General features: G+C 45.2%; 1 protein-coding gene across 18 annotated transcripts in view; it reads right to left on the bottom strand.

Annotated features, from left to right (window-relative positions):
- The window catches only part of UBE3B (ubiquitin protein ligase E3B), a 70,196-nt gene that overhangs the window by 33,457 nt on the left and 22,416 nt on the right, over positions 1-14,323 (bottom strand). For 17 of the 18 annotated variants that reach the window (XM_011538961.2, XM_047429852.1, XM_047429851.1 and 14 more), the window contains 6 exons: positions 12,839-13,002; positions 11,183-11,350; positions 6,638-6,809; positions 4,659-4,777; positions 3,915-4,029; positions 3,070-3,169 (listed from right to left, as the gene is read on the bottom strand). In XM_011538961.2, coding sequence (XP_011537263.1) covers positions 3,070-3,169; positions 3,915-4,029; positions 4,659-4,777; positions 6,638-6,809; positions 11,183-11,350; positions 12,839-13,002 — 838 coding nt within the window. Of the gene's footprint in view, positions 1-3,069; positions 3,170-3,914; positions 4,030-4,658; positions 4,778-5,653; positions 5,843-6,637; positions 6,810-11,182; positions 11,351-12,838; positions 13,003-14,323 lie in introns of those variants that run through there. The other variant, XM_047429854.1, reaches the window with a different exon arrangement.

Genomic DNA, 14,323 nt, shown 5'->3' with positions numbered 1-14,323 from the left:
GTGGACAGTTGGGTACGGATCATTCTCCCCATTCTACAGATGAAGACCTTACTCACCCAAGGCTACACAGTTGGTGGGCAGGGGGATGGAATGAAATCCAAAGCCCAGACACAGCCCCCATACTACAAAGCCTCTGCCCACTCCACACCTCTTAGGCCTTCTGGGTAAACACAAAAGGCAGAGAGGACTTAAGGGCCAGCCAGGGGATGAGTCACACATAAACAGGTAAAAGCGATGTAAGAGGGTGCAGAAAATGAAGTGCTGTGCACGTGAGCCAGGCAGAGCTGAGGCTTTAACAAATGTTAAGGAAAACAAGAAAGGCATTATAGTGAAATCGAGAACAAGGGAGAGGTTCAACATTTAGGGCAGATGGTATAATGGTAACAGAGCAGAGAGAGCCTATTACCCTCCTGTGTACTCCAGCAAGAATATTTCAATGGCAGAGGGCAGCACACATGCCACTAAGGGGAGCTTGAAGCTTGAGATGGGCGGAGGGGCAACAAGACAGCCCATCTGCTCTGAAAACACCAAGCCTTAGATACTCCCCCAGGACCTGCAATCACGGAGCAGGAAGGGGCAGGAGATGACGAGGGCCCCATTTTCCTGAGGGAGGACATTTTATGAACTAAGGACAAACAACCTTGATGACATATTTAAGCAAAATTCCCAAAAGAAAAAAAAAATGTGGGGATTACTATATACCCTGGACTTAAAAGTCATTCCAATTTATCTCAGCGGTTCCCTGACTTTCTTATTCACAGCACCTCTATCACTGCAGTAACTTTTTTCATGGTACTCCTAGGCCAAAAGAAATCCCTAGCAGTCCTTTTTACTAGGTAGTTAGGTCCCAAATATTTATGTCCTAAGACCTCAGTTGCTGTATTTTACAAATGCACATACTTTGAAATATAAAATATTTTTATTTTGTTCTTACAAGCCAGCTTTGCAAACATCATTAAAAAGAATGTAGTGCAATCTCATGTTGAAACCACGAACTACTCTGAACTAGCAGTTCATGTGGTGTCTCACTGTGTTCTCCTCAGAAATTTAAAATATTGTGCAGCACCTCCAGTGGCCACAGCACACGTGAACCACAGAGAAACAGAGCGGAGGGTCTAGACGATGTGTTATGGGAATGCAATGGTCAGAGGCTGATTTCACAGACACGCGGGTCCAGGAGGAGGGGCTGCATTTTAAACCAGACACCACCAAACCAGATGAGGCCCAGGAGATGAAGGCTGGAGCCTATTTCAAACAAAGACGAGGTGGAGAGGCTAAGGATACTACACTTGGAAAACACAAGCCCCACATGCAAACGGGAGCTGCCAACAGATCACAGAAGATAAAAGAAGCCACTTTTAGGGGTTGTTCAAGGACCAAAGGGTAGAAGTTACAGAGAAGCACAGTTCATGATGAGGAAGAATGTTCTATCTTTTGGAAAAGTAAAGCCACAGAACAGCCTGTTTTGCAAAGCTGTGCATTTTCTATTGGAAGCAAGGTCAGGGACATCATAGCAGGGGCTCCCTCAAGGAAGGCACATTTGATTAAGTAATTGCCGTAAGGCCCTTCACTTCTGAGAGTTTGCCAAGTGCAGTAAGAATTTAAACAGCCACATTGTTTGCACATCACTGCTTGAGGGGGAAAGAATAGCAACCATAAGTATTAAAGTCAAGGACAGAACAGTATCAGACAGCAGTGAGGATGAAATACCTCTGAAAAATGAGATTTAATTTACAAAAATATGATTTATGCTCTTTTCTAAAAATATGTCTACTTCGTTAAAAAAAGAAAAAGAAAATAGAACAGGAGAAAAATAAAGGACACAACCTAGACTCCTAGAAGACTCTTCTAAGAGGAGCTGAGTGTTGTCGCAGCATCGGACATTTCCAGAGTGCCTGCCACTCACCAGGGACGTGAGCCATGCTTGCTACCCTCATTTCCTGGATGCTCCTGCCACAGCCCAATCCTCCCCAAGTCTCTCTCATCCCCCGGGTGTGTGGCACTCTCCTGGTTTCCCTCCTTCCCTCCTCGTGTTGGCCCTCTGTGGGACGGGTCCTGCAGGGCTCTGCCTCAGTGCCCTGGACTTCTCACTCCGTCTGACTCCCCAACCACCTCGCCCAGGTTATGGGGGGAGTCAGCAGACTTGGGTGCTGTCTGATTCCCTGACTACCTCACCCAGTCCATGGGGGCAGTCAGGAGATTTGGGTGCTCTCCCCACACAAGCTCCTCCCTCCTGAATGCCAGACCCCCTTTCCAATGGCTTCCAGGAGCCAGAGACATCTCACATCCTACCTGCTCGATGCTGAACTCGCCGCCATGTCCCAGTCCTGCTCTTCCACCTCAGGAAAACACCCCCCAAGTACCCAAGCCAGACACCCGAGCATCACCTGAATTCTTCCTTTCTTTCCCCTTGGGATGTGACCATTCTCTGAGGCCTCCTTAAAAATCTCTTGACTTGCTCATCTTTTGACTCCCAGGGCCCACCCTAGTGCAGGACAGCTTGCTTTAACACCCCTGCCTCTAGCCAGCCCTCCACGCTGCAGCCAAGATGACCTTCCTGAAGTATGGCTCTGACCAGGTGCCTCCTAAGCTTCCAGCCCTCCGGTGGCTTTGCAGAAAGCCCTTGCTCCCAGCCTTGGTTTCTAAGGCTGTCTTGCTCTAGTTCCTACTACCCTCCTCGGCTTCCTCTTGACCCCATCCTTTCTATTCTCTCCAGCCACACTGCACATTTGACTCTCCAAAAGCACCTCATCCTTTCTAACTCAGCCTTTCAACACTGTCCACTTTTGCCCGTGGGACCCTTTCCTGTCCCCTTTCCCTCCCTCCAGCTGGTCAGGTCTCCGTACCTGGGCTGCCACTCCACCAGCATCGCCAGTTCACACTGTCTTCTCCAGCTCTGTACCCCAGCACTGGGTGTAACCTCACCAAAGTAATAGCAACCACCGTTTCCTTGTGCTGAATGAATGATCCCACTTAGTCACCTCCAATTGCCATAGCAAGGATGGAAAGGCAGGAACCACGTGGGGGAATAGAAAGACACATCGGGGCCCAGCTCTGAGTGCAACTCACGTTTTTGTGAGGGATGACATGTGGGATGTACTGCAGGATCAACTGTGCCCGTTTTCTGTCCCTGTCGAGTTCTTGGAAGAGCACGCTAGGTTTGAGATCCCTTGAGAAGAAAGACATGGGTTTGGGAGAATTAAAAGAAGGAAACCATCCTCTAGTGTGAGGCTGGGAAATGACACCATGTGGGCCACATGCAGGGTGCTGTCTGTTTCTCAAGAGTCTGATGGGAACATGACCATACTCATTCATACATGTATAGCCTATGGCAGCTTTTGTGCTACAAGAGCAGAGTTGAGTAGCTACAACAGAGACTGTCTGGTCCACAAAGCCTAAAGTCATCTGGCCCTTTACAGAAGTTTGCCAGTCCCTGCTCTAGTGCCACAGCTTCAGCAGTTGCCATAAAGCTTGAACTCATTGATAAAAATGCAGATACATGCCTATGTTCAGTTGTGATAGGAGGATTTCCCCCACCCCATTACTCTCCAAAAAACCTAAAAGCAGTTTTTACTCTAGTAATTCTGCTAATAAAAACTGCCTTTTAACTCTCATGCTCTGTTGCTCAGCTCAGCTAAAAGACCTCTTCCTAGTTTGGATGAGAAATGTATGCTAAATATAATCTGGCTCTGTTGCCATTAATTAACTCTAATCATATTTGGTGTAAACATCTCTTAACAGAAGCGTCCTGACAGGTGCTTCACAGGGACAGCAGCTCTCTTTACACAAATGAACAGACAAAATGAAGCAGAGGGAAAAAGTCCTCTCTGCCCTAGAACATGAGAGCTGAGTGCTCGGGCAGCGTGCCGGAGCAGGCTGGCTTCCATGGAGCCCTCCTCACCCCTGGAGCTCACTTTCGCAGCCAGTGGTCCTCGGGGGTGAAGCGCCGCCGGCAGTCCCGCTCGTACAGCACCATAAGCCACCCGTGGACAGACTGGAACAGCTCCAAGGTCTCACCCTTGGCGTTCTCTGTGGGACAAACAAACAGGAAAGTCAGAGGAGGAGTCAGAGCCAGAGAGCAAGGGGAGGACAGCTCTTGTCTTCCGCAGTTGTCATCAAGTCCTTGATCTCCCTCGCTCTGAATTATATGTGGAACCGACAGAATTAAAAGGCACCCTGGGTAAGTGCTAAGTGTCTGCAGGGCCTGAGTACCTCTCAGACAAAATCACTCATGCTGCCTCCCACTAGTGTGTCATCCGAAGGGCCTTTTAAGTCTAAGGAGCTTTGTCCTGAGCAATTGGAGACACTTCGGGAGGTGGACTCTCATCTCAAGTGTGCACTGGCACATGTTTTATCTTCACGGAAATCAAATGGAAGAATCAACAGGAGATTCAGGGCAAAATTAATCATCATTAATAATCCTCGACACATACATGCAAATCCTGAAGGGAGCCTGGGAGAGCAAGACTTCTATAACCACACCACTATCTTAAGAAGTCACAGAGAGTGAAGAAAGAAAATTTCCAATTGTGGGAATAAATGTGCACCTTCTATTAACTTGGAGAGACAATAAAGCTAAGAATCAGTTGATGCCATAGACTCTTCGGCCTCCCTGGGTGCAGCATCAACCAAACAACAGCAGACACCTTTTCTCTTACCTACAATTCCATCCCAGATCATCTTAAACACAAAAGAATTCAGGAAAGAGGAGATAGTGACCAGCTCTTCCAGTTTGAATGAAATCTGTTCTTCATAAACTTCAATGTCATCAAGGATTCTAAATCAGAGAGAAAATTACCCACAATTCCACACTGAAAAAAGGCGAAGAGAAAAAAAATCTGTACTGCTTACTAGACAATAAACGAGGTTGAGAAATAAGCTTTATCTTGTAGAGATACTTACTGTAAAATCTACAGATAAAATGATATGATATCATCAGGGGTAGGGGGAAAGGGGAGGGAGAGCCTTAGGACAAATACCTAATGCATGTAGAGCTTAAAACCTAGATGACGGGGTGACAGGTGCAGCAAACCACCACAGCACATGTATACCTATGTAACAAACCTGCACTTTCAGCACATGTATCCTAGAACTTAAAGTAAAATAAAATAAAAATAAAATGAAAAAAATGATATGATGTCTAGGATTTGCTTCAAAATAATGTGGGAGAGAAAAGCAGGTGGGCATTTGGATGAAGCAAAACTGGCTGTGAGGTGGTACTGTTGAAGCTGATAATGGGCACATGAGGGTTCATTATATTATCCTTTCTACTTTCTATTAATTTGAAATCGACCATAGTAAAAAGTTAAAAAATACAATTAAGAAAAAATCTGTACTCTATATTTTTCTTATTCATAAGGATCTGACTGTGACACTTTCTTAATTCACACCTCAATTCACGCCTTCCTTATTCATGTCTGCATATCAAGGAACATTGACTGAGAGTCGATGTTTACTGAGGAAAGCTGCAGAATCTTTTCGATATCTAAGACACATACTAGTGACACTTAGCAGGTACTTAGTAAGCATTTGTGAGTAAATGAATAAATGTTTGAAAGAACATATGAATAAATGAGCCATTTAAGACACAGCTCTATCTGAACATTTCCTAACACTGCTCCATACACTAGAATAAGATTCACTCTTGGCTTACCCCCATCCAGTGATTAAGGATGTCTTCACCAGCAGCTAGACCCCTGCTCTTGCCTCCAACTGCTCAGTGAGTTCTTCCATGATCCTCACCCAATCTGCCACCTACATGTCCCTGATCCTCTCCGGCTAAAGTCTTCCAGCCTGAACATAACTGCCTGAGGTCCATTGTATCTTATAATTCTTCACCAACCTTTTGGGAAAAGGTGGAATGAAAAGAATACCAAACACACAAGATGCATAAGCTTAAAAACCAAAGGAACTAAATGGGACTAATGTTTGTTAATTTCCCACTCTGTGCCAGGCACTGCACTAAGTATTTGACGCTGTTTTTTTCACTTACCCTCTATTGAACTGGTAATATTCTCTTCATTCTAATGAGGAAATAGAGACTCAAAGAGGTTAAGAAACTTGCTCAGGGTCGGCTTGATAATAATAAGAGCCAACAAGTACTGAACTCATCCTATGTGCCAGGGACTGTGATAAGCACTTTGCAATAATTATGTCTTTTAATCCCTACCATGTGCCTAAAAGGTATGTGCTATTGTCATTCCCATTTACAGATGAGTCAACTGAGTCTCAGAGAGGTTGAATCCGTGATCCCTTGCCCAGGGTGTCTCAAGATCTGCTTAGCAAGGATCTGCACCCTGGCTCTGACTTTGGAATTTTCCAGGAATCTAGCTAGCACAGTGAATAAATGGCTGAGCCATGATCTAAACCCATCTCCAGGAGACCCCAAGCCACAGCCAGTGGTACTGATCAGCTTCCTTGAAAGGATGGGAACTTTTAACTCCCAGGCCCCACCCTAACAACTGCTGAACATTTACTGCACACTGCTCACTTGGTAAATGGCTAGTTCTTACAATGCCCTGCCACACAGGTCCAAATGTTTGCAGTAATCACATTAGCAATTACTTCCTTACTGACACTGTATTTTGGTCTCTCCATATTCTAGGAAAGGAATTCAGTCCCACAGCAGTCAACCTACGTGATGAGGTGCCGCGAACAGTCACAGAACAGCATCAGCATGGCCAAGAGTTGCTTGGACTCTTCAGTGTCATTGTTCAGGCATTCCAAGAAGAGCTTTAACCCTCCGTGGGGCCCGAGCTCACAGATAAATGCCCACAGTTTGGGAAGCAGGTCATCAAGGTAAGTGAGACCTGGAAAAAACACAGAGAAACCCAAGCTTCAGGTGGAGACTCCACCTGGTCTGTTATTTCTCCTATCCAGTGGGGAAACAAAACACTTAAACCTATCCATGAACATTTAATGTGCGTGAAAAGAAGGTGGGATTATGGAGAAAAGCATTATCACCACGAGAGTAACAATGATAAGAGCCAGTAGTCAGTGGGTGCTGACTATGTGCCAGGCACCATTCTAAGCACTCCGTATGTATTGTTTGCTTTCCATTTTCTGAAGCCCAGTGTTATCCCCATCTTATACAGGAGGAAACTGAAGCACAGAAAGGTTAAATAATTGGCCCCAAATCACACAGCCTGTATGTCAGAGCCAGGAATAGAACTCAGGTCTGACTTAGCATTTATGCTTTAAATCAGGGATCAGCAATTTGTTTCAGGAAACAGCCAAAGAGTAAATATTTTTAGGCACTGTGGGCCAGAAGGTCTCTGCTGTTAAATTAAATCTAGCCAAGTCTGAGCAAAAAACAATTCATCCATCAGGCAGCCCTCAGAACCAGACGAGGTTCAGACAGCTCCAGTCCACATTCTGGGCAGGCAACATTTAGGGGCAAAACTGAAGTGAGGTACAGAGACAGCTTGACTGGTTACACCTCGGCTTTGCCTTATTTGAATGTGGTCTAATCAGATGGCCACCTGTGATTGATTGAAGCTAGGCTGCTGTGATTGGCAGCTATTTGTTACAAAAATACTGAATAGTCCTAAGTTAGACTTCTAGTCAGTTTACATACTAAGTTAGGCTGCAGTTCCTTACTTAAGGACTCAAAATATGGAGGCATCCTCAGGCCAAATTTAGTCTAACACTGTTACAACTACTCAGTGCTACCACTACAGCACAAAAGCGGCCACAGACAATGTGTAAAGAAACAGATTTGGCAGCCCGGTGCTGTGGCTCACGCCTGTAATCCCAGCACTCTGGGAGGCTGAGGCGGGTGGATCATCTGAGGTCAGGAGTTTGAGACCAGCCTGGCCAACATGATGAGAAACACTGTCTCTACTAAAAAATACAAAATCAGCCGGGCGTGGTGGCCAGCACCTGTAATCCCAGCTGCTCAGGAGGCTGAGGCAGGAGAATCGCTTGAACCTGGGAGGCAGAGGTTGCAGTGAGCCGAGATCGCACCACTGCACTCTAGCCTGGGCGACAAGAGCGAAACTCTGTCTCCAAAAACAAAAACAAAAACAAAAACAAAACAGATTTGGGTCTGTTCTAGTAAAAATTTATTGACAAAAACAAGTAGTGGGCTGGATTTGGCCCCCCAACAGTAGTCTGCTGACCCTTGCCTTAAACCATCTTGCAGGCTCGCCACCTTTGGCAAAGCTTCCCCCCACTTACCTCTATTATTCTATTATGTTAAAAGTGGAAATGCAGTCAATGACTGTGGTAGGATGCTCTGAACTATACAAAAATGGAACCCTGAGGAAGCAAAAGGGGACACAGAGGACTTTCTAAATTTGTTTCCTGATGGCTACAAGGCCTTAGACACACAGGCCACATCACGGGTATAGTTTACATCTAATAACACATCTCTTGACTTAGAAAGGCTGGATCTGAAATGCCATGTGTCACTGAATATACATTAAGGTGTGTTCCTCAGAAAAGCACAGTCACCTTGTATACGAGCCCTTACAATACCTCTCATCTTATAGGGCACTCTCTGAATTATTTAGTTTTGAATAAAGAACTGTTTGGGGAAGGTATATTAGCCAGCAGTGGGAGTTGGGGGAACTCCATCAGAGCTACTGAAGGATACTTAGAGGGTGAACTGAAGGAATTCTAAAGGAGGCCAAGAATTGTATCAATTTAGTGATTATGCCTAGAGCTTAGACCTCACATTTTCAAGGGTAGGAGGATGTGGTTATAAAGAAGCCTTTAGAAGCAAGACTTTCTTGATCTGTTGGTGATGACATAGGTGCCCCACTCATAACTAGTCTTTCAACTGTCCATGTTATATCAAACACACCCAAGAATGTGGAACTCTCACAATTCAAAAATAGGTTAAAATAGAAACAGAGGAAACAGTTAACACTGTGGAGATCACAAATATACTCCTATGGGATAAAAGAAGAAAAGCAAGTGTCCTCGAGTTCTGTGTAAAGGACTCATGTAGCGTAGACTAGAATGCTCATAGCATCACACACTGATTCAACAAGGGCTGCATATCTAGCCATTTAGACAGAGATGGAGACACTGGGCCTGGCAGAGCAATGGCAGACAGACCAGCAGCAGTGCCAGTGCTATCAGATGTGTGTGAGGAGCACAAACAGACACTTCCTAAGTTGTCAGTAGAAAAACAGCAGTATTTTAAAAACAAGCGTTATTTTCTATAATCTAAGTTGCTAAATAGACTGAATATCAAACATACACTTTAGACTAGTTTATCTTTATCCTTAAAGTGTATATTTTCAAGTTGACTAAAAAACCTGTATTTGGATTCTCTCACTTGGGAAAATGAGCTTCAATGTGAGCTCATTTAAAAAGCTGGACACACAGGAGATCGAGACCATCCTGGCTAACACAGTGAAACCCCGTCTCAACTAAAAATACAAAAAAAAAATTAGCCGGGCATGGTGGCAGGCGCCTGTAATCCCAGCTACTCGGGAGGCTGAGGCAGGAGAATGGCGTGAACCTGGGAGGCGGAGCCTGCAGTTGAGCCGAGATTGCGCTACTGCACTACAGCCTGGGCGACAGAGTGAGACTCCGTCTCGAAAAAAAAAAAAAAAGCTGGACACAAACCACAACCCCAAACTCCTCTCACTCAAGATGCTGCTCAAACCCTCAGGCGCTGGGGTACCCCAGGTATGGTCTTGCCCCTTCTCTCCTCCCTCTGCTCATCTTTGGGAAACCTGCCCTAGGCTGAAAGCCCATGGCTTTACACTCCATCCCTCAGCTGATGCTCCCAGAGTGTCACCTCTGCCAGCATGCCCAGCAGGCCCCTTTCCCTTGTCACAGCCACAACACAACAGACTCCTCACAGGCCCTGCCCCCGGTCTTCTCCAGCTCAGCAAACAGTGCTACCATCCACACAGGTGGTTGGGCCAACAACCTGGTATCTTCTTTAAAACCCTCAGTCCTCATGCTCCCAAATCCAAGCTACCAGTAAGACCCATATCTTCTACCTCTAAAACAAATCTAAATCCTCCTGCCTTAATCTCCATTGCTACTAAACTAGGCCAGTGGCTTTCAACCAGGAATGATTTTGCCTCCCAGGGGGCATTTGGCTGAATGCCAAATTTGAAGATATGTTTGGCTGTCACGCTGGTTGGGAAGGTGCTACTGGCATCTATGAGTAGGGACCAGGGCTGCTAAACATCCCAAAACACACAAGACAGCCCCTCATGACAAAGAATGGGCCAGCCCAAGACATCCATAATGCTAAGGCTGAGAAATCCTGCTGTAGCCCAGGCCAACATCATCTCTCAGCATTTTCATTCTCACAGTGCCCATCATTACATGAGCCCTACTTTTTACTTGCTTATTTTCAGTCTCCCCACTACTAGAATACAATCCCCTTGAGAACGAAGAACTTGGCTCTCTCTTTCACCTCTGTATCCTCAGTGCCTGGCACACAGGGGTGCTCAATAAATATTTGAAGAATGGATAAATAAGTGTGAAAGAGAAGCAGTGATTTATGATGTTAAAAAATGTAAAATGCAGCAGAGAAGCTCTTAATCCTTCATGTAATAAAAGGCTTCCACGGTTTACAAAGGCCTTTTGTACTTGTAAGACCAATTCATAACAACAACTGTGCTGCAACCTAAAAGCCTGTGATACCCAATTCTGTGCTCACAGAGGGGACTTTCCTCCATGTTAAGCTAAAAAGGAAAATGTTGGGCATATCCATGTGATGAGATACTATGTAGCCAATAAAGATAAGGTTTTCGAAGAATTTGTGACATGGTAAAATGATTATTGGAAAGGAAAGCATAGTGCTGTATATTTCAATTTAAATATATTTATTTTATATGTGCAGTACACTCAGGCACAGTTGACTGTTTTTGGATTATGGAATTAAAAGTGGTTTTCTTTTTCCTTTTTTTTTTGCAACCCTATCTTTTTTGCTTCTTTACTCAGAAAACAGAAACTTTTTAAAAGTAAATTCTACTTCATAATTAAAGTAAGAGTCACAAAACAGGAATGAGATGCAAGTGCTTATGATTGAGGTGAGCATGAGCAATGTAACTGAGGTGGACTAATCTCTAAGAGGAACAGCTCAAAAATGCCCTCCTTCAGAATCTATTTTCAGAGTCAAAGAAGCCAGAAAAAAACATCGACTTTTGCTAAGACAAACTGTCTGCCAAATGTGAGAGGTGAAGAAGATGCCCTGGGGACTGCGAACCTGTGAGTATCTGCAGCCGAATCTGTGTGAGAGTTGTCAGCGAGGTCTGGTAGAGGACACAGATGTTGCAAACCTTCTGGACTTCTGCAGAGTCGACCCGTTTACCCCCGACAGGCCTGAGAATATTCCGGACTGATGCCGACTTTTGAAAAGCACGCTTTAGGAGACCTGGCATGGAGAAAAGAAGACATGTGAGCAGCAGCTCAGCCAGCTGCCAAATCCCACCCTGGAAAAGGAAGAGCATTTCAGTAAAGCTCTAAATGCACAGCCAGGCCAGACAGTGGGGCAACTCACTCAATTCAAGGCATTTCTTTGGGATAAATTAGAAAAACATTAACAACAGGTTTTTAGGTACAACCCAAAGATCTCTTCAGAATACCCAAATATTTCTCAGAATAAGCCAGGCATATTCAAATCTTACATGGGATTCTTATACTGGAAATCACCAAATTTCAAAACCCACAATGGTAAAAATTCAGAGGACTATATTAGGGAAAGAGGGGCAAAGGCAGGGGCCCTGGCTACATCTCTATTTTCTGTGCCTTTAGAGGGAAGTAAGGCGTGACAACCTCTAGTTCTGACACCTGGTTTTGAATGATATTCTACCTTTGTTTTCAACCTTCCCATTGATATCCTGCTGGAGTCACATTTGCTGAGCCCACGCTTACTGCTAGCTATGAGACAGAGTTTTGCAACACACTCAGTAGAAGAACAGACACCCTGAACCTGAAAACCCACCACAGGCAGGTAACTCTGTCAAATTATGCATTAGTGGCCTTTCCATAACTTTTAATAAGAGCGTGCAACGAGAACCTTCCCATGGAACCCATTACTGACCCTGCGATAGGAAAGCCACTGAAGCGCTAGCCCCGCCTGTGGTTCAGTGAGTGGCTCCTTTATAAGGAGTCCCACATGGGAGATTTATTTTCTTAAGAACTCAGAAAAGCTCTACTTCTAAGAAATTAGAAGAAAGCATCCACAGACCCCTTTTCATGTCGGTTTCTGAAACATTTCATGTTGGTTCACAGCCAAACTGAAGTTCACAGGTAGCCACAGTGGCCCTAATGTAACATATGTGTGTGGACATGCTTTTATGACCCAATCTTGATTGTGTTCACCTATTTCTATTTCCCCAATCCTTGTTTTCTATTCTTATGGATTTTTTGTTTTGCTATATATGAACTTAGTGACCTAACAAGCCTCAAAATTGTTGTGGAACAAGCTGGAGGCCAGGTATGGTGGCTCATATATGTCACCCCAGCACTTTGGGAGGCTGAGGTAGGAGGATCACTTGAGGTCAGGAATTGGAAACAAACCTGGGCAATAAGGTAAGGCCCCCATCTCTACAAAAATTAAAAAAAAAAAAAAATTAGCCAGGCATGGCAGTACACGCCTGTAGTCCCAGCTATTATACTTGGGAGGCTGACGTGGGAGGATCACCTGAGCCTAGGAGTTAGAGGCTAGTAAGCTATGATCATGCCACTGCACTGTAGCCTGGGCAATACAGTGAGACTCTGTCTCTAACAACAAGAACGATAACAACAAAAACAAAGTTAGAGCATCCCACAAACACAGCGGAACATCCATATAGGAAGAAACAGGAGCTGTACTTCAGCCAAGTGGAGCTACAGGGTTGGGCCTGCTCCCGTCACTCACTCTTCACTGGGAGCACATTCTGAGGGGATGCTGGCTGTGCGTGGGCTGGCTCCTGGCTCTCCAGTAGCTTCTTGCTCAGGATGTCACAGAAGAAGATCCGGATCAGAGGCACCCCCCACAAGAACTGCAGCTGTTTGGTGATCAAGTGCATTGACTCGTTAAGGCTAGGAGAGAGCAGAGGAGACCTGGTCTGTCAGTTCCATCTGATGCAGGGCCAGGGCCAGCCCACACAGTTCCTAATGGCCTTCCACTCGGAGCTGTAGCTAGGACCTGGCACTCAACATGGCAAAGAAGATTACAAAAATAAAAAGTGGAACTAACAAATCATTGCTGAGGGGCTGGTACGTCAAGGGCATTGACTCTTCATCTTGTCTGCTTTCCCCAGGTCCCCAAGCTCCATGAGTCACACTCTTCTCGAAGACACTTGCTACCACCCAGGTGACAAAAACAATCTTGTACCCACTGCACTGCCTCCCTCCTCATAGCTGGCTTGCAGGTGGTGGGGGGCCAAATCTAGATGACTCAGCAGCCTCCTCAGTGTTTCCTTGCATTCCAGGGGTTCCTTGCCTGACTCCACACTGCACTCAGCATCCCTCAACTTCCTGGAATCTGCTGTCACCTTCCTGCTCAAGAAGGTGAGGTGAGACTCCTAGTGGTTCCCACATTGATCATCATATTGTTAATAGCCGCCACCCCTGAGTACGGCCAGGCCTGCCTGCTGGTAGGTGCTTCACATGCATTATCTCATTCAATCTTTCTAGAAAGCCCTATCAAAGGGAGGGTGAAAATTATCCCCAGGTTTCAGATGAGGAAAGCAAGGCAAAGCAAGTCGTCCAAGTCCCTCCAAGAAGAGGAAGTGGAGCGGAGAGCAGGCTGTCTGCGGAGGTGCTGCTCTCCTTCACTTACCTCCCACAGCCTCCTGACTCTCAGCACCTCCGCCCCATCCTCCTCAGGCTGAGGTGTCACGCTGGGGCAGGCTGTTCCCTAGCAATGAGTCTTTTTAACTAGATAGGACCCAGGGATGTCACTCAGGTACAACAAAAGAAAAATTTGGGGATTTCCTCCCCAGGCCTTTAGTTTTCTGCTGCAAGGGTAACTGCCAGGGACCCCATGCCTCGAGCAGATATGTGAACAAGAAAACAGCTGGGGCAGCAGAGCTGGTTCCTCTCCAGAAACCACTTTATCTCAGCTCAGGTAGATATTTCAAATTCATGAAGCTGCACCTTACTTGATCTCCCTTCTTCTAGTCTAGTGTTTCTCATGTTTTTAAGTTCATAATTACACTTTTAAAAATTTATATTCCACCTCTTGAAAAGGATTTTGGGTGATTTCTATTCCCTTTGAATCATTTGTCTTGTTTTAGCATCTCCAAAATATGGCAGTCTAGTCAAAAAGTGACAGTGAAGAAGAAAAAACATTGATAAGGTCCATAGCTGAATGGAAGGAACAAAATACAAAATAATAGGATTTCAATTTTGTAAAAAA

The sequence above is a fragment of the Homo sapiens genome, chromosome 12, assembly GCF_000001405.40.
Source record: "Homo sapiens chromosome 12, GRCh38.p14 Primary Assembly".
Classification (NCBI taxonomy): domain Eukaryota; kingdom Metazoa; phylum Chordata; class Mammalia; order Primates; family Hominidae; genus Homo; species Homo sapiens.
This window is presented reverse-complemented; position numbering and strand designations above follow the sequence as displayed.